Genomic DNA, 23,742 nt, shown 5'->3' on the forward strand with positions numbered 1-23,742 from the left:
GTAATTTGCATCAATTGTAATTAGATGCAATTACCCTAAAATAGTCTATGTTTCTTTAGCCATTGTAGTCAGCAAAGGAGGAGGAGCACCTATGAACATCAAATACATGTTTTGCTTCTCGTTTGCTCCCTTGGTCTTCGCTTGGGGGAAACACTCCCTTCAGAGGAGAGACCAACTCCATCAGGCATCTCCTGAGGTCCTAGGAGTAGGGCTGGGAGAGGACAGCTGCTGGATAGACATTTGTTGACCTGAACTCACCTCCAATTTCCGTGTGGTGGTTTGAGGGTTACCACTTGAAGTATAATGGGTTTCTGTGTAGGAAGGAGCAAAAAGTTGCCTGCAAAAAATAAAAAGAGACATTTATATCATAAGTGGATGAACTCCACCCTCCTAGCAACAACGAGTGATTTTAACTGAACCAGGCAGGACTATCCCAAGCATCTCCATACAAAAGAAACTAGGCAGCCACAAGGGGCTAAGGAACAAAAAGGAAAACCATAAGTTTGTTATTAATTTTATATTTAATGTAAATTAAATATAATTTATCATCACTATGGGAACATCACTCCAACTAGATGGAATTGACAGAACTAAAGCAATGATCTTAATATTTGTCTGGGTCCTGGGAAAACAGACATGCAAACACATGCAAAATTTCCCGGGGCCTATGAACCCTGTTGTGTACCGTGGTTGATTTTTCCAGCACTGGATCTACCAATTTTTAGTATCAGCAGACCAATTTTTCTTTAAGGGAATAACTCTTCCCTGATGCATATTTTGGTGAGATTGTCAATCAAGGTGTCCTACTTGGCCCTGGCCAAGGGGTGACCTGTATTTCAAGCGAAGCCAGTGGAGAGATACTGCCAGGTCTGAACAGATGGAAGCAATGCATCTGTTCTTCTGTTCCTGCTACAAGGGTTCCCTAAGCTTCCGTTGCCTGCCCTTTCGGACACTTAGTGGTTCCGATTTCCTGAGACCTGGTAATTCTATGTTACTCTTCCAATAAATTCCTTTTTTTCTTTTCTAAACTTGGACATTGGTTTCTCTCACCACAGACCCCTTGAAGTACAGGTTAAGAATCCCCTCACCAAAGGCCAGGCAACTTCAAGAAATGTTCTTAGAATTTTCTCTAAAAATTAAAAGAAAAATATAAGAGTCAAATGGATGTTTCAACTATTAATAGTTCAGCCACATTAAAGGCAGAATTGATCTACAGAAAGTCAAGGTCAGCCAGGTGTGGTGGCTCACACCTGTAATCCCAGCACTTTGGGAGACTGAGGTGGGCAGATCACCTGAGGTCAGGAGTTCAAGACCAGCCTGGTTAACATGGTGAAACCCCATCTCTACTAAAATTACAAAAATTAGCCAGGTGTGGTAGCAGGTGCCTAGCTGGGAGGCTGAGGCAGGAGAACTGCTTGAACCTGGGGGGTGGAGGTTGCAGCGAGCCGAGATCACGTCATTGCACTCCAGCCTAGGTGACAAGAGCGAGACTCTGTCTCAAAAAAAAAAAAAAAAAGAGAGAGAGAAACAAATGCCCTTTGTTGATGGTGATTATCTCAGGGGTTGCAGAAGATGTTTACAATATAAGTTGCATATTTCTGAAGTTGGTTGACTTTTAAATTAACTGTCAGAGAGGTGTTTTGAAAACTGAAATTTTAATTTAAAACTGCTCTTAAAAAGAAGAAAATGTAGGCTGAGGCCAGCACAGAAAGCCAAAGGAATCTGCAGGGATAACCCAGGTTTTGAAAGAGGTGACATTTCCCAGCAAGAGAGGGTCATCGCAGAGGGTCTCTAGAATTCCTCTAGAGTCACTTCCAGCTCTAAGTTCTGGGATCGCTCAGATTTCCCTCCATCCCCAGTGTGTGGTCAGAAGGCAAATGCCACAAGAATTGTCTCCTGTACTATGTCAAGGCCTTCAACTTCTCGCCTTGGACAAGAAGAAAAGAAGCCCAACAGGAAAATGTAAAAATAAAGCAAAGCACAAACCCCAGCTTTGTGAAGAGAAATTCTCATTCACATGGAAACTTTGGGTCAGTGGCTAACCTGCCAGAATCTGTCTCCCAGTCCTTTCTCTTTCTCCTTAGCATCTAACTAGTCCAAGATTTGAGGGAGGAGTCACCCATTTGCCTGAGGGAGAAAAGCTGTAAGCCTCATGAGGGCAGAGGCCAAGCAGTTTTGCTCACTGGTTTATGTCAGTGCTTAACATTTGTTCAATGAGAAAACCACTTAACTAGTTACCGAATGAATGGATGGATGAGTAGTTCAGTGTACTAGCAGCTTAGAGCATGGTCTGGAGACTGGAAAACTGAAGTTTTGATTCCAGCTCTGACATTCACTGCCTCTACGGCCGTGAACAAGTACATGTATGTCTCTGAACCTTTGTTTCCTCTTACACAAAAAAGAGGATGATATACTCATTTGATAGGGCTGTGATGAGGATCAAACAACATAATAAATGTAGCAGACTTAATGCCATGCCTGGCACAAAGTGGAGCTGGGTAAAAGTTAGTGATAATCATTATTGCTTTCAACAGGGATTATGACAGAAGAACCCAGAAAGTTTCTCTCTCTAACTTTCCCCAGCCATGAACTCTCCAGTACATCACTTAAGAGAGGTGGTAAAACGCAATGTGCTCATTCCTGCAGCCCATTTCCTGGGTTTGCTTTCACAGACTGCGCCATGTACAGCTGGTCAGGAGTTCAGAGTTTAATAGTTCATTCCAGGTGCCAGTGGGGAAGTGTGAATTTTCCCACAGAAAATGCACTCCTGGTAAAAATATTCTCAGCCTCTTCTGAGACTTAGCAAGGGGGGAGAAATCATTCACCCAGTGACATTACCCCATCATCACAGGCCTCTCTGACCCTCAGCACTGAAAGGAACCCTAGAAATCATGTAGTCAAACCCCAATTACACTGTGAGCTCCCCAAAAACAGGGACCTTGTGTCTTTGAAGTCTTCTCCCCGGCCCCCAGCACCTAGCAAGCAGGCAGTACATGTGCATTCTGTGAATGAGTGAATAAACTCGCAAACGAATGAATGAACCTTTTATCTCGTGTAGGAATCTGCCAAATGGCTATTCACCACTGGACACCTCCAGGGAGAGGCTACTCCTGAGACTACCCACTCCATTTCTGACCACATACAGTAGTTTAATGTTTTACTCCGGATTAAAAACTACACCTCTGTCACTGGCACCCACAGGCCTTCATTCTGGCCTCTGAATCTACATAAAACAATCCGCTTTCATTTTCCACCTAATCACCCTTTCTGAAGCAGCAATATCAGCATCATCTAGAAACTAGTTAAAAATGCAAATTGCCAGGCTCCACCCAGACTCATGAATCAGACAGAAACTCTAGGGTTAGGGCCAGCCATCTGTTTGAACAACTCTGCAGCTCCCCCAAGCTAGGTCCACATACGCCCATGTGTCCAGGTGCTGCTCTCAGAACCAAAGGACGCTGCTGTCCCACAGAGAGGAGGGCACATGGTCACTGAGCAGCCCGGCCCAGCCCAGCTGCCCCATTCTCTGACCACATCTTGTTCTCATCTCCTCCCTGACGAGGGGCTGGCTCAGCAGACCGGCAGGAAGCCGTCTCTCACCATTGGATTGCATTAGGATTTTCAGGAAACGACTTGTGAGTGATGTGCATCCAGGAAGAGAAAGGACTGTGCAAGATTTCCCATTCCGCCCACTCCTTTTTTCTAGCTTTAAAAGAAAAGCAATTTCTGTTCTACCCTGCTGCCCCCTGCTCTGTCTGCTCTGTGCTCAGGAGCCCACGGACAGGCAGAAATCAGTAGGACACTCTGCCATGTCTCGGCACCATCATAATAATAGCCAGCACTAGAGTTGAGCAAAATCTGGGTCATTTAGATTCCAAAGTCCCTGAGCAAAACCTGCATCTTCAGACTCCCACCTAGGAAAATAAGCTACCCCCAAATACCGGACATAAAACATTAGGTCACTCTCTAGGGAAGAAGAACTGGAACCTGTACAAGCAGCCAGGCCCTGAAAGTACACTGCAGCCTGAAAACAGCTCAGACCCGTCTTTCCTAAGGCTCAGAAGCTTCAAACTCAGGACAATTCCTTTAAGTTCTATTTATCGTCAGACAAATTTCAAATGCCTCTCTAGGCTAAACCACCCTCTAGAGAGGAAGGAGCAGTGACACTAAAATGAATTTGCAAAACATCTTCTGGGAGCTCAAACCTTCTTCCTCCTGCTTCAGATAAGCAAACCAGTGAAGATAAAGTGATAACAATTTCCCATTTACCTTGAAAAACACCCTCTGCAGACGAGCTCAGCATAGGCGAGCATCACTCTGCTCATCTCAGTAGCAAGTTTTGCTGACACCTCCTTTCTCTGGGCCTTTCTCTATCTAATTCTTCCAAGAGTCTCCAGGCATTTATACCCTGATGATGCCTTGGGAGGTCCACTTTTCTGGTCTCTCTTATTTCACCTGGAGGGTCTTCATCCTGCCTATGTTAGTAATAATGTTCTCACCATGCGACTTAGCCCAACAACTGCACAACACCTGGAAAGACTGTTCAAAAATACACAATCCCCTCCCTTTTCTAGGGAAGGATTAAGAAATCTGTATTTTTAATAGTTTTTTTTTTTTCAGGTGATTTATGTTTTCGGGTTCTGGGAATTATTCTACTCCATTTGAGCAATTTTAACATTTTTAATTCTTTTTTTTATTTCTAGCCTCCTAATCACCTTCCAAAAGTCTAAAGATGGTGCTAACCCAGCATAGAGGGAAAGTCGGAATGCTTTGGTTTAAGCAGCAGCTGCACTAGGCAACTGCCCTTCCAAAGCCTGGAAATGAAGCAAAAGATGACTATGGTTCCTCTCAATGTCACACAAGCGTACAGCCAGGGCTGGGTGCAATGGCTCACGCCTCTAATCCCAGGACTTTGGGAGGCCGAGGCAGGTGGATCACACGAGGCCAGGAGTTCCAGACCAGCCTGGACAACAGGGCGAAAGCCCGTCTCTACAAAAAAAAATAGCCAGGTGTGGTGGCGCGCACCTGTAATCCCAGCTACTCAGGAGGCTGAGGCAGGAGAATCGCTTGAACTCGGGAGGCGGAAGCTGCAGTAAGCTGACATTGCACCACTGCACTCCAGCCTGAGTGACAGAGCCAGATTCTGTCTCAAAACATTAAATTAAAAAACACTAAGGGAGCACAGCCAAGCCTTAGACTCTCAGAGGCCTGTCTACGGTTCTCTGGACTTTATGGGAAGAGTGTGGCTTTGAAAGATGTACTATTTACAATTAATTAGGACAGCCCTTGTTCCACTCTGTAAAATCAGATGTTAACTTGTAAAAACTTAATAAGATACAACAGAAATGCAAATATTTCCATCTAGTAGAAAAGATAACCCCAAAGGTTATGATTTTACAGCCCCTAGGATATTAACTAGTTTTGTGTCTAATTTAGCAATCTTATCTCAGCATTCCTTTTTTCACTATTAAATACACACACACCGCCACACAAATACGTCTTAGTTTCCCTTATCCAATTTTAAACCAGTTTTATCATCTTGCTGGTTAGCCCATTAATTAGATAAATAAAACTTCGAGAAGTGCTCACTATGTATTTGTATAAAAATTGTTTTCACGTGAGCCACATAAACCCCCTCCATTTTCTAGACTGCAAAATGAACAGACTAATAATCACCATCAGTATCACAGCGATGCTGAGGATCAAATGAGAAAATACATTCAAATCCTAGCTCTTATAAGTCGTGTGAATTCAGACTGGTCAGTAACTTCTCCGTGCCTATGGTTTCTCATCATAAAATGAGGAGAATGACAAAATCTACTTCACAGTGCCCCTGTAAGATGTTAGAATAGTGCCTGGCATATAGGAAGATCATATGAACAAATGTGAAAGAATTATTTGTAAAGTAGAAAGTATTTGTGCTTTACAAATATTGCTATCATTTTCTCCAGCACTAGCTATATATACACGTGGCAAAATCTTGATCATTGTTAAATCTAGGTAATGGGCATCTGAGGTTTATAATACTAGTCTCTCTCCTTCTGGGTTTGTAAATTTTGACAATATTTTTTAACTGGCTAGGTGATACGGTGCAAGTCACAAACTACTCAGCCTCAGTTTCCCTTTCTATCAAGCAGAAATGGCAATGCCCAGGACAGACAGGTACTGGAAAGTGTCTCTGAAAAGCAGAGTGCTATTCTAATGTCATGGCCTGCACTAGTCTAGATTTGGGACAAAATAAATTCAGTGAGTATTGTTTTGTTTTCTAAGATGCTGAAAGAAAAGCAGGGAAGAGACAGCCAGAGCTGCTTCAGAACCAAGATTTCTACATCAGTACTCATTCCACCTCTGACTCCAAAGGAATGGAAACAAACCAACGTGCCAAAGGCATGGCCCTAAAGCCAAATAAGGGACTGATGAGTCCAGGGGGCTGCAAGCAGACACATTCCTTTATGAGGGAACAGAAAGGCGAAGGAAGGGGGAACTTTGGAGGTTGCTCCTAGAGTAAAAAATTGGGACCTCCTCCTATCCCAGGGACTCCCTTGAATAAGCACCATCGTTGCCAGAGGACCAGCTTTGGAAGCAACACTCCGAAGGCAAAAATGGCGCCATCCAGAAGCCTGGCAAAAGGCCAATGCTACTCAGTATGTTTTCTTTAACTTCCTATTAAGGAAGTTTCCAAACAATGCGTTAAGTCAACACTCCCTTTCACCAACCACTTCCCACGACATCTTCTCCCAGTCCGCACAAGACCTGGCACCCTTCCGACCAGTTTCTGGTCCTGTGTTTTGCTTTTACATTATATACCAAAGGATGTTTGGATGAGCACCACTGACTCCTTTGGCCAGCAGGGTCTTTACTTAATCCTCTTCAGGCCTCCCTCGTGGCTGCCTCTGTGAAGATGGGTAACCTCTCTGCACAAATAGAGCTGACTTCTTGAGATCAGACAACTTAACTGGCAGGGACCTGCGGGGCCCTCAAAATGGCTCACCCAAGAAGAGTTCACAAATTTGTTTTCCAGTGTCCCGAATAGCCCATTATGTGTATTTGTTGGAATTAGATAAGAACAGTTCGGGGAAATGAGGTGCTACCTTTAGAATTTCTGAGAAAAATCTAAAAGCGAAAATGGTGAGTAGGAACAACTTCTCTAGCAACCAGTTTTTGGTAAATAACCACAGTGTTGATCAGATTAGCCGATACCACAGAAAACCTGAAGGGAAAGACGAATGTAAGAGGGTATGAGGAAACTGCCATATCATAAAGAAAAACGGTGTGGATAAGACACAGGGGAAATGAAGAGAAGGACCCTCTGAGATCACTGGAGCTGTGAGAATATGCTTAGAAAAAAGGGAATAAGCGGACCACTCCCTGAAACTAACAAACAAACATAAAACAGGTAGGTGAGGACCACAAACCAGCCTGCTAAATGTAGGTGCTTAGCCCTTTTTAAGCTCTGATTAAATATCCCAGTAACTTTCATAAACTTGCCCAATGTTTCTTAGCATACTAAGACACAGACCGCACCCAAAGCATAAGTCAAGGATGTCAGAACTTGGAAAGCCCTCATAGATCATAGTGGATACCTATTGTCAGAGCCTGCCCAGCATCCATGCCACCTTCTTGAGATAAACAGTGGCCCAACTTGCATTTAAAGAAATACTCCCCTCTCGTTGCATTGCTGACTAGGGCACCTGGAGTTGGTCAAGATCCCTGCCCTTGCCTGGCCAAATGAATGCTTCATGATATGCCTGGACAGTCAGATCTCATCTCAGAATTTCAAGATGATAGTACATGAAGGGACCGTCTATTCATTCTAGGATCTCAACCTTTCCAAACCTTAGTTTTTCAACTTTTCCCTCATTCTATGCGTTGCCCCATATCCTTTCCAAAAAGATTGTTTAGGAGAAGCGAGGGTTAGTGTGTAAGTTACAGAGTCTACCGCAATGAAACATTATTTATATACCACCCTCTCTGCCCAACCCTGACCTCCACTTTTACAGATGAAGAATCTGAAAAAAAGCAAAAGCAACTTGCCCAGCATCACACAGTTTTTGTTTCTAAACCCATCATTTCAATAAACTAGAGTAAGCTAAATGTCAGTGGTAGACAAGCCAAGAGTTGGGCCATCCAGACACACCCAGTAGGCAGAGAGAAAGGCTCTTCATGCAATCTCATGAATAACTGCATATTAAGCAGTGTAATGTGGTACAAACTGCAGGCCACCTGGCATCAGGAGGCCAGAGTTTCTCACAGCTTGATTTCGTCACTATTTGCTGGGGGTCCTTGATCAAGACGCAGCACCTTTCTGAGCATCAGGCCTTGCAGGCCCTGCACCTGCAAGTCCACTTGCACCCTCCACAAACATGTATGGAGGTCCGTGATGTGCAGGCACTATGCTAGGGGATGGGGCTTCAGCAGCCAGTGAGGCAGGCCTAGGTTTCCTGCCCCTCTCCTGGCTTGGCACCTGCAGCTCCCAAGTGCTTGGCAAATGCTGACACCATGCAGAGGGCAGGTGTCACTGTCTGGTCCCCAGAAGGCACTGTTTCACAGCTCATCTTCCTTCCTGGAACAGCTGCAAACCAGTGTGGTAACCAATTTCTAGTTTCTCCTAAAAAGCTGTCTACACAGTTATGGAGAAGGGATGTATATGTGCACGCACACGTGTGTGCATGCATGTGTGCGTGTTGAGAGCAGAGAGCAAGGCCAGTCTAGGGATCAGGAATTAAGGATACTCACTCAACATGGCTGCCCTCCTTCTCCAAACCCATATTCCTATCACCATATCCCTGAGAGGCCAGTTTGACCTTTGCATTCTTACCCAAGCCCCAAATCTAGCATCAGTGAGTCAAGAGATAAAGAGCTTCTAGAATACAAAGAGCCTGACATTCCTTCCAACACTTAGATCACTCTTTTCCCCAGCACTCCAGTCTCCCTCCAAAGGAGTCCCTTTCCATGACTTGCCCTTCCCTTCTCCAGAAGGGGGGCCTTGGAAAAAGAAACCATGCTTGATATAATGCAGCCATTATAGCTCCTTGGCCCTTCTGGCCCTCTCCCCGGGGAGACTGATGCAAGAGGAGAAAACGTGGAGACTGCCAGTTTTCTGCAAGGAGGAAAGGGGGGAAGTGAGACACATGGGAGCCATGGAAGAGGCTGGAAAAGAGCCACAAGTACAGAAGTCATAAAGACCCCATTTCTCCTTCAACCGGCTGAGGAAAGTCCGGCCCAGCTCCACCTACTCAATGATATCATTGTTTTCAACAAAAGCCGGTTTCAGAATCCCTAGAGAGGTCCCCAATGAAGCCTCAGCTGCTGGAATGGGCAGAGGTCTCACCAGTTCCTAAGAGACCAAGTGCTTAGAATTTTAGATAAGGAGGAGAAAACAGAGAAAACCAGGGGAGGCACAGATTTTGCTTCTGCTGGGCCTGTCAGCGTTATGGAAAGAGTACAGGACACTGCTTTTCACACAGGTTTTATTATTGCATCCCCATGATGATCCTGCCAAGGTGGTGACTAGGAATTATTACCTAGTCTAATTAGTCCATTGAGTCTAATTACCTATCTAATGAGAAACCTAAAGATCCAAGGAAAGAGGTGGCTTGTCCAAGGTCCCACCACAAGCTAAGGAAAACTCCAGGGACAGACACCACCATTGCTGTGGTTTGAATGTATCCCCGCAAAAGCCTGTGTTGGAAACTTAATCCCCAATGCAACAGTGTTGGAAGGTAGGCCTCATGAGGAGTGATTAGGCCATGAGGGCTCCACCATAATGAGTGGATTAATGCTGTTATAAAAGGGCTTGAGGCTGCAAGTTTGCTCTCTTGCTCTTTTTTTCATGTGCTATCTTGCCCTTCTCCCTTTCACCATGGGGTAGCATAGCAAGAAGGCCCTCATGAGACGCTGATACCTTGATGTTGGACTTGCCAGCCAGCAGAACTGTGAGAAACAGATTTCTTTTCTTTATAAGTGACCCAGTCTCTAGGATTCTGTTTTGCCAATGCAAAATGAATTAAGACAACTATCCTGCTACTTATTCAAGCTAGAAACTTTGGACTGTCCCTTGAAACCACCCTCTCCCTCAGCCCACATGCAACCCATTTCCCAGTTTCCATGATTCCACCCTATAAATATCTCTGGAATCTATCCTCTTCTCTTTATATCAGCTACCTCTTCCCTAAATTAGTCCTTCTCAAATGCGTTTTGGATGCTGTCACTATGTGACTTTTAAAATATTCTTCATCCGCTTCCCATTGCCCTAGAGATAAAAGCCCAAACTCTTTAAGGTGCCTACAAGGCCCTTTAAGGACTCACCTCTGCCTGCCTCACCAATTTCTTCTCTCATCATTTCCTTCCTCCTGCTCTCTGTTCTAACTATAGAGAACTTTTCATTTTCAATGTCATTCTTGCCTTTGGGCCTTTGATCCTGTGATCTGTGCTGCCTGGCACATACTCCCTATTGTATGAGCCAACTCTGCCACACTCTCCACCACCATCACACTCCCCCTTTTCTTTACTTCCTCCTATCAGACTTCCCGTGCCCCCAATCCAGAGGAAGTTCCCCTTCCCCATGTTCCTACAGTACCCTCTACTTCCTCCCTCCTAGCAGGTCCCACATTGTTCTGTAACTGTTTAATTATCTGTCCCCTCTACTACGTTCTAAGCCCCATGATGGCAGAGACTATTCTGATCACCATTGATTCTCCCGGGAATAACCAGGACCTATCCCAGTGCCTGCCACATAGTTGGCACTCACAATATTTGTTTAATGAAGGAAGAGAAGAAAGGAATAACATAAATTAGGAATTCTCAATGAGTAGTCCAGAACTCAAGCCCAGTACACTGGGAAGAGACTTGCCAGAAAAGCCAGGGATTCTCTGACTCAATACCTGCCCCAGTTGAGTTTGTGCAAGACCTAGCAACTTGCCCCATAGTACCCAGAAGACTATTCACTTAGTTTATTCAAGGGGTCAGCCAAAGGTCTGTGTATGTCACTGAGTTCTAAATAAAGAAAAAGCAAATCTTAATTGCTCAAAATCAAAAACATCTCCTGGGTGAAATGTAAATGTAGTTTCATTTTCAGGACAGAATCTGTCCAGGGGCCACATTGTCAGCCTCCTCTCATTTTTCTCCAGGATAGTCATGCTCCATTGCCCAACCACAAAGGGTAAAGAGTAGGAAACACCCTCCAATTTCCAGAGAGCCTAGATGAAGAGTTTAATCACATCCTCGGAGCTGGGAGAAAAGAGAAGGCCGAAAGAGCCTCTCCCAAATCCAAATGTATATCCATAAATCCGTCTGCATCCCGCCCACCAGCCTTGCATCTCAGGAGGCTTCCCCATCTACAGAAGTTGTGAAGAAGCCATCAATGCCTTGTGCTCAGCCCCTTCCAATCCATGGGCTCCATCCACCAAGTACACCTCCATCCTCTTGGCTCAGCCCAAATTGTTCTTCAGTGGGGAGGGGTGGGAGGAAAGCTACTTCTCTTCCAAGGTGTAGAAATACAGCCTAGCTTTTAAGTGCACTTCAAGTATGTTTCCTAGAAGTAGCTCACCTACTTCCCTGACCACATGGGTCTGCCTGAGGCAAGAGAATGCAACTCAAAGTCAAAAATGGGAGAATTAAAATATTGAGCTCTATGCCACTCAAATCCTCTGGTAGCCCACCAGTGGAAGAAAAAGCAACCCGTTCCCCAACCTCAACATATCACTCTTCTGAATTCAAATATTTGGCTAGTTAGGGATACTAAATTCCTAAAAGATTAGTAGCACTACAGTTTTAGGTTCCCTTTGATCCAGACCAAACATTTACACATTGTTTTCTCAGTCTGAATTCCTTTCTCATTCTCCATTCATCTCATCTCCCTCCCTCATCAAAAGCCTCCCATCATTCTGCAAGACAATATTTCAAGTAACCCTCATTAGGGAAGGCTCCCCTCTTCCCCAGTCACAAATTCCCGTTCCTCTTGCCTTCGCAGTTCTTTACTTTCAATTCTACCATGTAAATTTGTAATCTGTTTTGGATTATGCTGTTTGCATGCTGTTTTCTCTCCCACAGAGTCTAAACTGCCAGAAGGTAAGAATATCCTGTTTTCATGCCTAGTCTCTACAGCACCTAGCACAGGATTCTACATAGAGGTGCTCAATCAGTATCCCCTGAAATCAAACTTGTAGAATGGAGAAAAATTAGCTCGAGCTTAAAAGGCAGATCTATCAACTAATGAATGGGTTAACAAAATGTGGTATATCTATATAATGTAATACCATATAGCAATAAGAATACTGATACATACTACAACACGAATAAACCTCAAAAACTTTACCCGAAGTGAAAGTAGCCAGTCAAAAAGACCACATATTGTATAATCCCATTTACATGAAACATCCAGAATAAGTAAATCTGGAGACATCAGATTGCCAGCTTCATAGGACTGACGTGGGGTGGGGGAGAATGAAGAATGACTGTGCTCCTTTTCTAGGACTACCGTAACAAAGTATCACAAACCAAGTGGCTTAAAAATCGGAAGTTTATGTCACACAGTTCTTGAGGCTAAAAGTCCAAGATCAAGCTATCATCCTCTCTCTGCAGGTGCAAGGAAAGGGCTTATCCCAGGCTCTCTCCTGGCTTCTGAGTTCCTTCGCCTGTGGTGGCATAACTCTAATCTTCACATGGCATTCTCCCAGAGTGTGTGTCTGTTTCCAAACCTCCCCCTTCTAAAAGGACACCACTCATGCTGGATTAGAGACCTGCCATACTCCAGTATGATCTCATCTTAACTAAATACATCCACAACTCAATTTCCAAATAAGGTCACTTTGAGGTACTGGGGATAAGGACTTCAACATATGAGTTTGGGGGGACACCATTCAACTCATAACACTGCTGATGTTTTTTCCTTTTGGAGTGGTGAAAATGTTCTAAAATCAGATTATGGCGATGGCTGCATGACTTTGTAAATATACTAAAACAGATGAAATTGTATACTTTAAATGAGTGAACTATATGGTATGTGAGTTGTATCTCAGTAAAGCTGTTTGGAAAAAAAAAAAAAAAGACAAGAGAGCTTGGGTTTAAAGAGTCTGCCCAAGCTCAATAATCAACTCAATGGTGTGTTTGGGAAAACAGGATCTCTCAACAAGGGCAGTGAGATATAAACTTGCAGAGGAGCCAAGGGCAACTTGCCTTTATATATCCACGTTACATGTAAATTCGCTTTGACTCAGTTGGGTATACAGTGATTCATACCATCATTCTCTCTACTCTGCACGTTTGATAATTTTTCACTATAAGAAGCTGTAAGAGTTAATCATGCATACACATAGACTATAATATCACACAGCCACGAAAATGATATGATAGTCTCTTCAATAAATGGTGGGAAAACCATATGCAGAAGAATAAAACTAGGCCCCTATCTCTCATTGTATACAAAAATCAAATCAAAACGGATTAAAGACTTAAATCTAAGACCTCAGGCCAGGCACAGTGGTTCATGCCTGTAATCCCAGCACTTTGGGAAGCCGAGGCAGGCGAATCACCTGAGGTCAGGAGTTGCAGACCAGCCTGGCCAACATGGTGAAATCCTGTCTCTACTAAAAAGAAAATAATTAGCTGGCGTGGTGGTGCACGCCTGTAATCTCAGCTACTCGGGAGGCTGAAACAGGAGAATCAATTGAACCAAGAAGGCAGTGGCTGCAATGAGCTGAGATTGCGCCATTGCACTCCAGCCTAAGCAACAGAGCATGATTCTGTCCCCCCAACCCCAAAAAAAAAAAAAAAAAAAGACCAAAAAAACTAAGACCTCAAACCATTTAACTGCAACAAGAAAACATTGGGGAAAATCTCCAGGACATTGGTCTGGGCAAAATTTCTTGAGCAATACCCCACAAGCACAGGCAACCAAAGAAAAAATGGACAAATGGGATCACAACAAGTTAAAAAGCTTCTGAACAGCAAAGGATACAATCAACAAAGTGAAGAGACAACCCAAACAATGGGAGAAAATATTTGTAAACTACCCATCTGACAAGGGCTTAATAACAAGACTATATAAGGAGCTCAAACAACTCTATAAGAAAAAAAAAAACTAATAATCCAATCAAAAGTTGGGCAAAAGCTTTGAATAGACATTTCTCAAAAGAAGGCATAAAAATGGCAAACAAGCATATGAAAAGGTGCTCAACATCACTGATCTTCAGAGAAATGCAAATCAATACCACAACAAGCTGGGTGCCTTGACTCATGCCTGTAATCCCAGCACTTTGGGATGGATCACTTGAGACCAGGAGTTTGAGACTAGCCTGGTCAACATGGCAAAACTTCATCTCTACTAAAAATACAAAATGCAAAAAAATTAACCAGGTGTGGTGGCGTGCACCTGTAGTCCCAGATACTCAAGAGACTGAGGCTCAAGAATCGCTTGAACCCAGAAGGCGGAGGTTGCAGTGAGCCAAGATCGCACCACTGCACTCCAGCCTGGGGGACAGATCAAGACTCTGTCTCAAAAAACAAAACAAAGCAAAACAAAAAAAACCGCAATGAGATATCATCTCACCCAGTTGAAAGATAGGCAATAATAAATGCTGGTGAGGATGTGGGGAAAAGGGAACCCTTGTGTACGTTGCTGGTGGGAACATAAATTAGTACAACCACTATGTCATGCTACCATATGATCCAGCAATCCCACTGCTGAGTATAGACCCAAAAGAAAGGAAATCAGTGGGCCAGGCACGGTGGCTCATGCCTGTAATCCTAGCACTTTGGGAGGCTGAGGTGGGTGGATTGCCTGAGCTTAGGAGTTCAAGCCCAGCCTGGGCAACAGGAGTTTGAGACCAGCCAGGGCAACAAGGTGAAACCCCGTCTCTACTAAAAATACAAAAAGTTAGCCGGGCATGGTGGTGTGTGCCTGTAGTCCCAGCTACTCGGGAGGCTGAGACAGGAGAATTGCTTGAACCTGGGAGGTGGAGGTTGCAGTGAGCCGAGATTGTGCCATTGCATTCCAGCCTGGGTGACAGAGCGGGACTCTACTCAAAAAAAAAAAAAAAAAAAAAAAAGGAAATCAGTATACTGAAGACATACCTGTGCTCCTGTGTTTGTTGCAGCAGAGTTTACAATAGCCAAGATTTGGAAGCAACCTAAGTCTCTATCTGGGATGAATGGATAAAGAAAATGTGGTACATATACACAATGGAGTACTATTCTGCCATAAAAAAGAATGAGCTCCAGTCATTTGCAACAACATGGATGGAACTGGAGATCATTATGTTAAGTGAAATAAACCAGGTACAGACAGAAAGATCAACATCCCATGTTCTCACTTATTTGTAGGATCTAAAAATCAAAATAATTGAACTCCTGGGCAGAAAGAGTAGAAGGATGGTTACCAGAGGCTGGGAAGGGTGTAGTGGGGAGATGCAGATAGTTAATGGGTACAAAAAAGAATAGAAAAAATGAATAAGACCTATTATTTGATAGCACAACAAGGTGACTACAGTCTATAATAATTTAACTATACATTTTAAAATAAAGAGTATAATTGGACTGTTTGCAATGCAACGGATAAATGCCTGATGGAATGGATACCCTTTTCTTCATGATGTGCTTATTTCACATTGCATGTTTGTATCAAAATATCTCTTGTACCCCGTAAATATATACACTTACTATGTATGTACTCACAAAAATTAAAAATTAAAAAAGGAAAAGATAAAATTACTGAGATTTGTTTCATGGGCTAAAAAGTAAGTAAAAATAGAACTTCTAATTAATTTTTTTAAATATGATAAAGGTACATGGAGACATATTTATAATATGCTCATAATGTGAAATGGTACATTCAACCTTTGGGGAGGTATCTGTTGTTGTATAAATGCAAAATGGTACATTCAGCCTTTGGGGAGGTATTTGTGGAGTGAGAGGTACAACTTGTCAAAATTTAAAAGCGTTTTAATTGTGTACTCCATAGGATCCTGTAACTCTACATCTAGGTATCAGTGCTACAGAAATACTTGCAAATGTGCTTAAAGATTATGTACAATCCTATTGCTAGGATTATTTGTAATAACAAGAAATCAGAAACCTAACTGTCAGTTAATAAGGAAATTAATAAATTTTGATTCATCCATTCAGTGGAATCCTATGTCACCATTAAAAAGAATGAAACAGGTCTATAAATGTGCTCATGTGGAAAGACACTGAAGACAAAAAATAAAAAAGCCAATTATAAAATAGTATATAAAGTACGATACCATGCATTTAAAAACTCTATAACTTGTTTAATTTTTCTCTGAAGTTTTATTATGAAAAATGTCAAACATTCCAAAAAGTTCCATGTAAAATCTTTTAAATGTTTTTAAATGCCCATGCTATATTTCCAAGTGAAAAAAAATAGGTTACAAAACCAAGAATACACTATGACCTCATTTGTATATAAATATACATAGGGATTTTTAAAATCTACATAAAATATTAAGTTCATGGTAAATGCTCACTCCCTCAATGCCAGCTATTGTTGTTATCTGAAGGTAAGCAGCCTGATGATAAAGGGGTCCCCAAACCCAAGCATCCTGACTTCTTCCAAGTCCACAGCTTCCCTTAGTTCGGATAAGGGTCCATCTAAGGCCAACAGGGCAGTTGACAGCTTCCTCCCATTCATTTTACCCCGTGCTCCTGCTGAAGAGCAGCCAGGAGAAATAAGCTTGAGACAAAAGAAAACCGTGGACATCCTTCCTGGCTGCACAGGCAGCCCTGGCTGCGGATCCCTGGAAGGAGAGCCGGAACCAGTGAACAAATCCCAACCTCATATTGGACAGTTCAGGGCCTCATCTGATTCTGCAGGCACAGAAAAGAGGTACAGTTTGGCCCACTGGAGAACACTGCAAAGCAGTGTTTTCGAGATACAATTAGGTCAAACTGGGCATCGCTGGAGAGCAGAAGTAATTTCCTCCCAGGGGCAATGGGTTTTAAGGTCAACTCTTCTTAATTACATTTGGAAACCAACTCAGGGGAATTCCCTCTGACTTCATTCTTAAATGCTTTTCTGACCCTGCAAAACACAAATAACAGTGTCTATTTATTGTGCTCTCATAGTGCACCAGGCACCCTGTAAATCCTTTAAGAGCATTACGTTATTGAATTCCACACACATCCTATGAGGTTATTATCCCCATCACGTAGATGAGAAAACTGAGACTCTCAAAGGTTGAGCGACTTGCCAAAGCTTACACCTCCAGGTAGTGCAAGGAGCCAAGCTTGGGATGCACACCTGCCTGGATTACACTATCACATTACACTGACATGCAAATTCTAACCAGGGCCTGGGAAAGGTAGGAGGAAAGGGAAGGGGGAGAGTAGAACAATGAAGAAGAAATGCCAGTGCTAACCAAAAAAGAGCCCAAAGCATAATGAGCCAGGACTATGCATCTGAGAGGCAATATACTGCCCCAGTTAAAAGCCTGGACTTGGGAGTCAAACAGATCTAGTTTCACATCCTGGCCCTGCTCTTCCCACCCACATGACTTTTAGCAAGTCACACTGCTCCACACCTCAGGGTCCCCATCTGCCAAATAGGGCTAATATAGGAATCTACTCTTCATTGGTTGGTTGTGACAAGTGAAGTAGATGACCCATATAAATACCACAGTACGATGCCTGTTATACAGGCATCTCCTACTTTTTAGCTATCACCATTTGTTAATATGTGACAATCATTCCTAGTTATCCTCAGCCAGAAGTTCCCTAAGGGCAGACAGAGCATCAGAGAACATGACCCGGAACTTGGGTAATGTAGATAAGCAATAACCACACAGATTATTGCTCAATATGTTTTTTTCTCTTGTCATTTTCATGCTTGAAGAAAGCTGCAAGGGCCACATGTCACAGCTTGCATCCCCAAAACACCTGAAAACATTTGTTCTGGACGTTGCATTAGTACAAATTAGCATGTATTGAAAACCTGCTTGCTATGTGCCAGACGTTGTACTAAGTGCATTGTCATACATTATCTCCTAACCTCACAAACCCTGTGTGTGTGTTTCCTGGGGCTAGTGTGTAATAAATTGTCACAAAATTGGTGGCTTCAAACAACAGAAAGTTGTTTTCACACAGCTTGAGAGGTCAGAAGAATGAAATCGGTATTATTGGGCCAAAATCAAGGGGTCAGCAGGGCTGCGTGCCCTCTGGGAGAATCTGTTCCTTGCCTCTTCCAGCTTCTCCTTGGCTCATGGCTGCACCACTCTAATCTCTGCCTCTGTGATCACATCACTGTCTCCTGTTCTGTCTATAGTCAAATCTCCTTCTGCCTCCCTCTTATAAATATATTTGCCATTGTATTTAGGGCCCATCCAGGTAATCCAAGATAATCTTCTCATCTCAAGATCTTTGATTTTGTTGTTGTTGTTGTTGCTGTTGTTTGAGACGGAGTCTCGCTCTGTCGCTGAGGCTGGAGTGCAGTGGTGTGACCTCAGCTCACTGCAACCTCTGCCTCCCAGGCTCAAGTGACTCTTCTTTACTGCAACCTGTTTTATCAGCAAGGTTTTTATAACCTGTTTTTTTTTCTTTTTCTTTTTTTTTTTTTTTTTTTTTTTTTTTGAGATGGGGTCTCACTCTATTGCCCAGGCTGGAGTGCAGTGGCACAATCTCGGCTCACTGCAACCTCTGCCTCCCGGGTTCAAGCAATTCTTCTGCCTCAACCTCCCGAGTAGCTGGGACTACAGGGGCGCACCACCATGCCCAGCTAATTTTTGTATTTTTAGTAGAGACCAGGTTTCACCATGTTAGTCAGGCTGGTCTCGAACTCCTGACCTCAGGTGATTCACCTGCCTTGGCCTCCCAAAGTGCTGGGATTACAGGCGTGAGCCACCATGCCCGGCCTCAAGATCTTTAACTTAATCACATCTGCAAAGATTCTGCCACATGTTCCAGGGATTCGAATGTGGTTATCATTGGAGGGGAGAGGGTGCATTTTTCAGCCTTCCACACCCTGCAATGAAGGTATCAATGTCTCTATTTTCTATGCAAGTGCTATAATGTAGTAAGAGGCAGGCAGGCCAGAGTTTGACTCCTGGCTATGCCCAATACTGGGTAAATTATTTAAACTCCTCATGCTTGAGTTTCATTATAAAATGCAGACAACAATATCTCATTCAAAGGGTTGCCATGAGGATTCAATAAGACATTGTGTGAAGTGCCTTTTCCGAAGTATCCATTCTCAGCAAATGCTCACAAAGCAGTGAGTATTATTACTATTATTTGAGACAGCATCTGGCTCTGTCAACCAGGCTAGAGTGCGGTGGTATGATCTCAGCTCATTGCAACCTTCACCTCCTGGGCTCAAAAGATCCTCCCACTAAAGCTTCCTGAGTAGCTGGGACTACAGGCATGTGCCACCATGCCTGGCTAATTTTTGTGGGGGTTTTTTGTTTGTTTGGTTGGTTGGTTTTGGTAGAGACAGGGTTTTGCCACATTGCCCAGGCTGGTCTCGAACTCCTGGGCTCGCGTGATCCACCCGGCTCAGCCTCCCAAAGTGCTAGGATTACAGGCATGCGCCACTGCACCTGGCCAAGTAGTATTACTATGAATACAGATGAAGAAGTAAAACTTAGAAGGCAAGTGACTTACCAAAGACCACCCAACCGGAAGTGTCAGTATCTGGAATTGAATCAGGGTCTCTGGGACCAAAGTCCAAATCTGTTCTACTCTATGGATTAGGATGTTTAAGGCTTGTGTGCACAAGGCTTTCAGAATCAACACATCTAGGCTATTTCAATTTTGGATGCTCTCTGATACCTTAGACAAGCGTATCATGAAGCTGCATCCCTTCAGATCACCAGGCTTATTACTGAGTCTGAGCTTAAGCAATGGACCCTAAGAAAGTGATATCATGTGTCCAATATTTTAGAAATAATGGCATCTTAGTCCATTCTGGCTGCTATAACAAAACAGCATAACCTGGGTAGCAAATAAGCAACAAATTTACTTCTCACGGTTCTAGAGTCTGAGAAGTCCAAGATCAAGGGATCAGCAGATTTCGTGTCTAGTGAGGGCCCTCTCTCCGGTTCATAGATGGTAGCTGCTAGCTGTGTCTTCACCTGGTGGAAAAGGTGAGCTAATTCTCTCGGGTCTCTTCTATCAGGGCACTAATCCTATTCATGAGAGCAGAGCCCTCATAAACGAATCATATCCAAAAGGCCCCACCTCCTAATACCATCACCTTGGGGACTAGGACTTCAACATAAGAATTTGAAGGGAGACATAAACATTCAGTACATTGCAAATGGAGACCCTGCTTATGCTGGGGTGGGGTTGAGAGTTTGGCTTATAAAAAATCACATCAGACTGGCTGGCAATCCATTTGTTCTGCAACTCCAGGCATTTGGGACAACATGGGAAATGCAAATGAAATCATTCTCAGTCTACAAAGCTACAATTAGAAACTACATCTCAAACAGGACTACCAGGTCTCTCTGGAATGACGTGCCTAGCAAAGCACTTGGAATTTAAATCCACTCATGCATTCACTGCCTTCAGCGTCAACACAGCAGGGTTAAACCAGTTCTTCATACTTCCAAAGAACATGTGAAGAAAATTTCAGACACCACAGGCAGCTCTCATCAAATTCTGGTGTCCCCACCCATTCATCCAACTGTTTCCTCAGCACCTGTCTCCCCGGGTTATACAACCTTAGCCATGGGGAATGGGGAGCCCAGCTGCGAGTAGAGTTTGGAAAAACATTTTGAATACTTTAGATCTGCCAAATACTTGGTTAAAGAATGATATCCTTTAATTTCTTGAGCCATGTGTATTTTAAGTGCAATGTAATCCATATGTCTATGACTCATTTAAATGCAACTCAGTGAAGCATGGTTTACTAAGAGCATTGGGATACCATCTAAGCCTTTCTAAGCTGCTCTTTGATCCAGGAAATTGAATTTTGCCAACAACAAATGAAGCTCCTGACAAGAGAGGGTCAAAGAGAGCTGTCCTTTATCCTAGGTAAGATGTTAAAGTCTACTCTTGACCTGGGAGGAAGCTGGGAGGGTGGAGGTGGGGAGAGCTCCACTGCCTAAGTGGTATTCATAGTTTTGCTTTGGGTCTGCTACTATTTCTACCAGGTATCCTTGAAAAAGAAGTGCAGGAATAAGAGATGGCAACTAATCTGCCCCGTGTGTTGCTGAAAAATTCCTTTCCTGCCTGCTAATTCTGCCCTTCCTCAATTCCACCAGTATTATGCAATCCAAATTGTATAATGGACTTGAGGAAAAACGAGAATGTTAGGGAGCTAGATTACTCCATTAGCACTGAATGTTAATTTTCCAGATTGTAGCTTGATTTCCAGGACAATGAAAGCCTTCTCCTTCCCTATGATATCACTGAAGGACTGATAAGAAGTTAGGGATAGGAAGAAAGATTAAAGTTGGAAGTAATGATAGGTATTAAAATCAGTAAACCTCTAAATGCCCAAATTCTGCCTTGACAATTGCTGTTCCCCAGGTGGTTTGGAGGTAGACATACTCACAAAAGAAAACAAACGCCCGTTCTTATTAACTAAACTTGAGCAAATAAGATCTCTCTTTAGCTAACTGGGCTGGAGCACAAATGGATGGGGTTAGACCAAAGGACGTCTCTCCCTTTCTCAAGCCATCATCATTTGGACTTGAGGAAGGACAGTGTATTGAAGAAATGAGAGTCCTAGAATGTGTTTAAGATACTAGAAGACAGAAGCATATGGCCAAAGAGCCTCTGGGCAAAGTGCCTACTAGTTGAGCCATTCATTTGCTTTTGAAGGTGATCTTGTAATAGAGTGATCCTGCTCACTAGTAATGCGGCCCAGTGAGCATCCAGGAATCTGGTTGAGCAATTCAGTGTGCCCTCCTTTTGGGAAAAAGCCAAGAAAGGACAGGATATGGCGCTGGGGCTCACATAACCCTGTTCATCTCCCTGGATGCCTGCAGCTAACTAAGGAGGATTCCATTTGATTTCAGCAAACAAGTTTTTGTCAAATATGGGTTCCTGGGTTGGTGAGGTAGTCTCAGGACATGGGGAAAAGAACATAGAGAAAAAATATGGATTAATGCTCAAATCTGTGGGTTGTGCAAACAGCAGTCTATAATTTCTGCTCTGTAGTTTCCCTTCTTGTATTTTCTGTTGCCTGAACCTGCGGGTTCTGACCTAGAAGTTCGTCCCCAACTTCAAGGTCCCGTGATTTGGGGCACCTTTTTCCTTTATCCCACTGCCCACTATTTCCCAGGATGTCTCCACAGGTAGAGCAAATTTCCTGAGGCAGAGACTTCTTTTGCATTTTTCTACTCACAGAGCATCCTTTAAAGAGGTAGTGCAGGCCGGGCGCGGTGGCTCACGCCTGTAATCCCAGCACTTTGGGAGGCCGAGGCGGGCGGATCACGAGGTCAGGAGATCGAGACCATCCCGGCTAAAACGGTGAAACCCCGTCTCTACTAAAAATACAAAAAATTAGCCGGGCGTAGTGGCGGGCGCCTGTAGTCCCAGCTACTTGGGAGGCTGAGGCAGGAGAATGGCGTGAACCCGGAAGGCGGAGCTTGCAGTGAGCCGAGATCCCGCCACTGCACTCCAGCCTGGGCGACAGAGCGAGACTCCGTCTCAAAAAAAAAAAAAAAAAAAAAAAAAAAAGAGGTAGTGCAGAAAGAGCCTTCAGAGCCTATCCGGGGCCAAAATCTGCATTTTACAGATGAGAAAGCAGAGGCTCAGGGGAGCTGGCTGGCTTTTTGACCAATTTCATATCATCTGTCTCTGAGGTCAATGCTATGTCCACTGTACCACACTGCCTCAATCACAAGTTTCTCCAACAGCAGCTATGCACCAATCTTTGCAAATTATGTGATTACATGTGTGTATAAATATTAAACAATGTAATATATACTTTATTAGAGCAGAAGACTGTCTTCATGACATCCAGTTGAGTTCAAAAAAGGAAATGCTGGAGCAATATGTCTGACATAATCTCATTTCTGCTCCTCCCTCCCCAACAAAAATAGCAGCTTCTGTGTGACTGTGTCTGTATGTGATTGTGTCTGTGAGGATTCATGTGCATGTTCTTGTATGCATAGAAAAGGTCCAGGGTTTGCTCACCAAACAGCAGTGGATTTTCCTCGTGGGAGGGAAACTTTCATTCTTTTGTTTATTTGGAATTGCTACATGTTTTACAATGAGCATGCTTTGCTTTTGCAATTTAAAAACAATGAGCAAGAAATAATCATAGCTACCTTGAGCTTGGAATACAAACAAGGCACTCTGCTAAGTCCTTCACCTGTACCATCTCATTTCATCCTCCCTGTGGCTCTGGCTCTATGACATGGGACTATAATTACACCCCAGATGCACAAACTGAGGCTTAAAGAGGCTACAAGGTAGTAAGTGGCAGAGCCAGGATCTGAACACAGGAATAACCGACACAAAAGCAATGCTCAGATTATCCCTAAAGGGTCACTGTTTTTCACCTGCACTCAATAGAGAAAAGAATGTGTGCTTCTCACGGATGTCATCCGTGAGTTGCTGAGTTGCTTCAAAGCAGAGACAGGCTGCCGGCTGCCGCGCTATTGTAGGACACCTCAGTGTGTCTGCTGCCTGAGCTGAAGCTCACTTTGCTGTGTTCCCCCTCCTCTCCTGGCCCATGCCCCATGCCTTTCCATCCTCACCATTCTTGGCGATCTCTCCATGTGTGAATTCCATTAAAGGCTTGCTCACTGCTATTTTGGGCCATGCATTAATACGTGG

The 23,742-nt window shown here is 43.6% G+C and overlaps 1 protein-coding gene across 2 annotated transcripts in view, besides 5 other annotated features; it reads right to left on the reverse strand.

Annotated features, from left to right (window-relative positions):
- ADAM19 (ADAM metallopeptidase domain 19) overlaps nt 1–23,742 on the reverse strand; it is a 98,472-nt gene that overhangs the window by 60,351 nt on the left and 14,379 nt on the right. For both annotated transcript variants that reach the window (NM_033274.5, XM_047417858.1), the window contains exon 4: nt 259–337. In NM_033274.5, the coding sequence (NP_150377.1) occupies nt 259–337 (79 nt within the window). The remainder of the gene's footprint in view (nt 1–258; nt 338–23,742) is intronic.
- Nucleotides 3,123–3,242: an enhancer, noted in NCBI's record as "active region_23517". NCBI's record gives its function as "activates an Ori minimal core promoter by ATAC-STARR-seq in GM12878 lymphoblastoid cells {active_cell/tissue: GM12878}" and the evidence as "EXISTENCE:reporter gene assay evidence [ECO:0000049][PMID:35858748]".
- Nucleotides 3,383–3,482: an enhancer, noted in NCBI's record as "active region_23518". NCBI's record gives its function as "activates an Ori minimal core promoter by ATAC-STARR-seq in GM12878 lymphoblastoid cells {active_cell/tissue: GM12878}" and the evidence as "EXISTENCE:reporter gene assay evidence [ECO:0000049][PMID:35858748]".
- Nucleotides 3,893–3,952: an enhancer, noted in NCBI's record as "active region_23519". NCBI's record gives its function as "activates an Ori minimal core promoter by ATAC-STARR-seq in GM12878 lymphoblastoid cells {active_cell/tissue: GM12878}" and the evidence as "EXISTENCE:reporter gene assay evidence [ECO:0000049][PMID:35858748]".
- Nucleotides 4,113–4,222: an enhancer, noted in NCBI's record as "active region_23520". NCBI's record gives its function as "activates an Ori minimal core promoter by ATAC-STARR-seq in GM12878 lymphoblastoid cells {active_cell/tissue: GM12878}" and the evidence as "EXISTENCE:reporter gene assay evidence [ECO:0000049][PMID:35858748]".
- Nucleotides 19,276–19,335: an enhancer, noted in NCBI's record as "active region_23521". NCBI's record gives its function as "activates an Ori minimal core promoter by ATAC-STARR-seq in GM12878 lymphoblastoid cells {active_cell/tissue: GM12878}" and the evidence as "EXISTENCE:reporter gene assay evidence [ECO:0000049][PMID:35858748]".

This window comes from Homo sapiens, chromosome 5, assembly GCF_000001405.40.
Source record: "Homo sapiens chromosome 5, GRCh38.p14 Primary Assembly".
Taxonomy (NCBI): domain Eukaryota; kingdom Metazoa; phylum Chordata; class Mammalia; order Primates; family Hominidae; genus Homo; species Homo sapiens.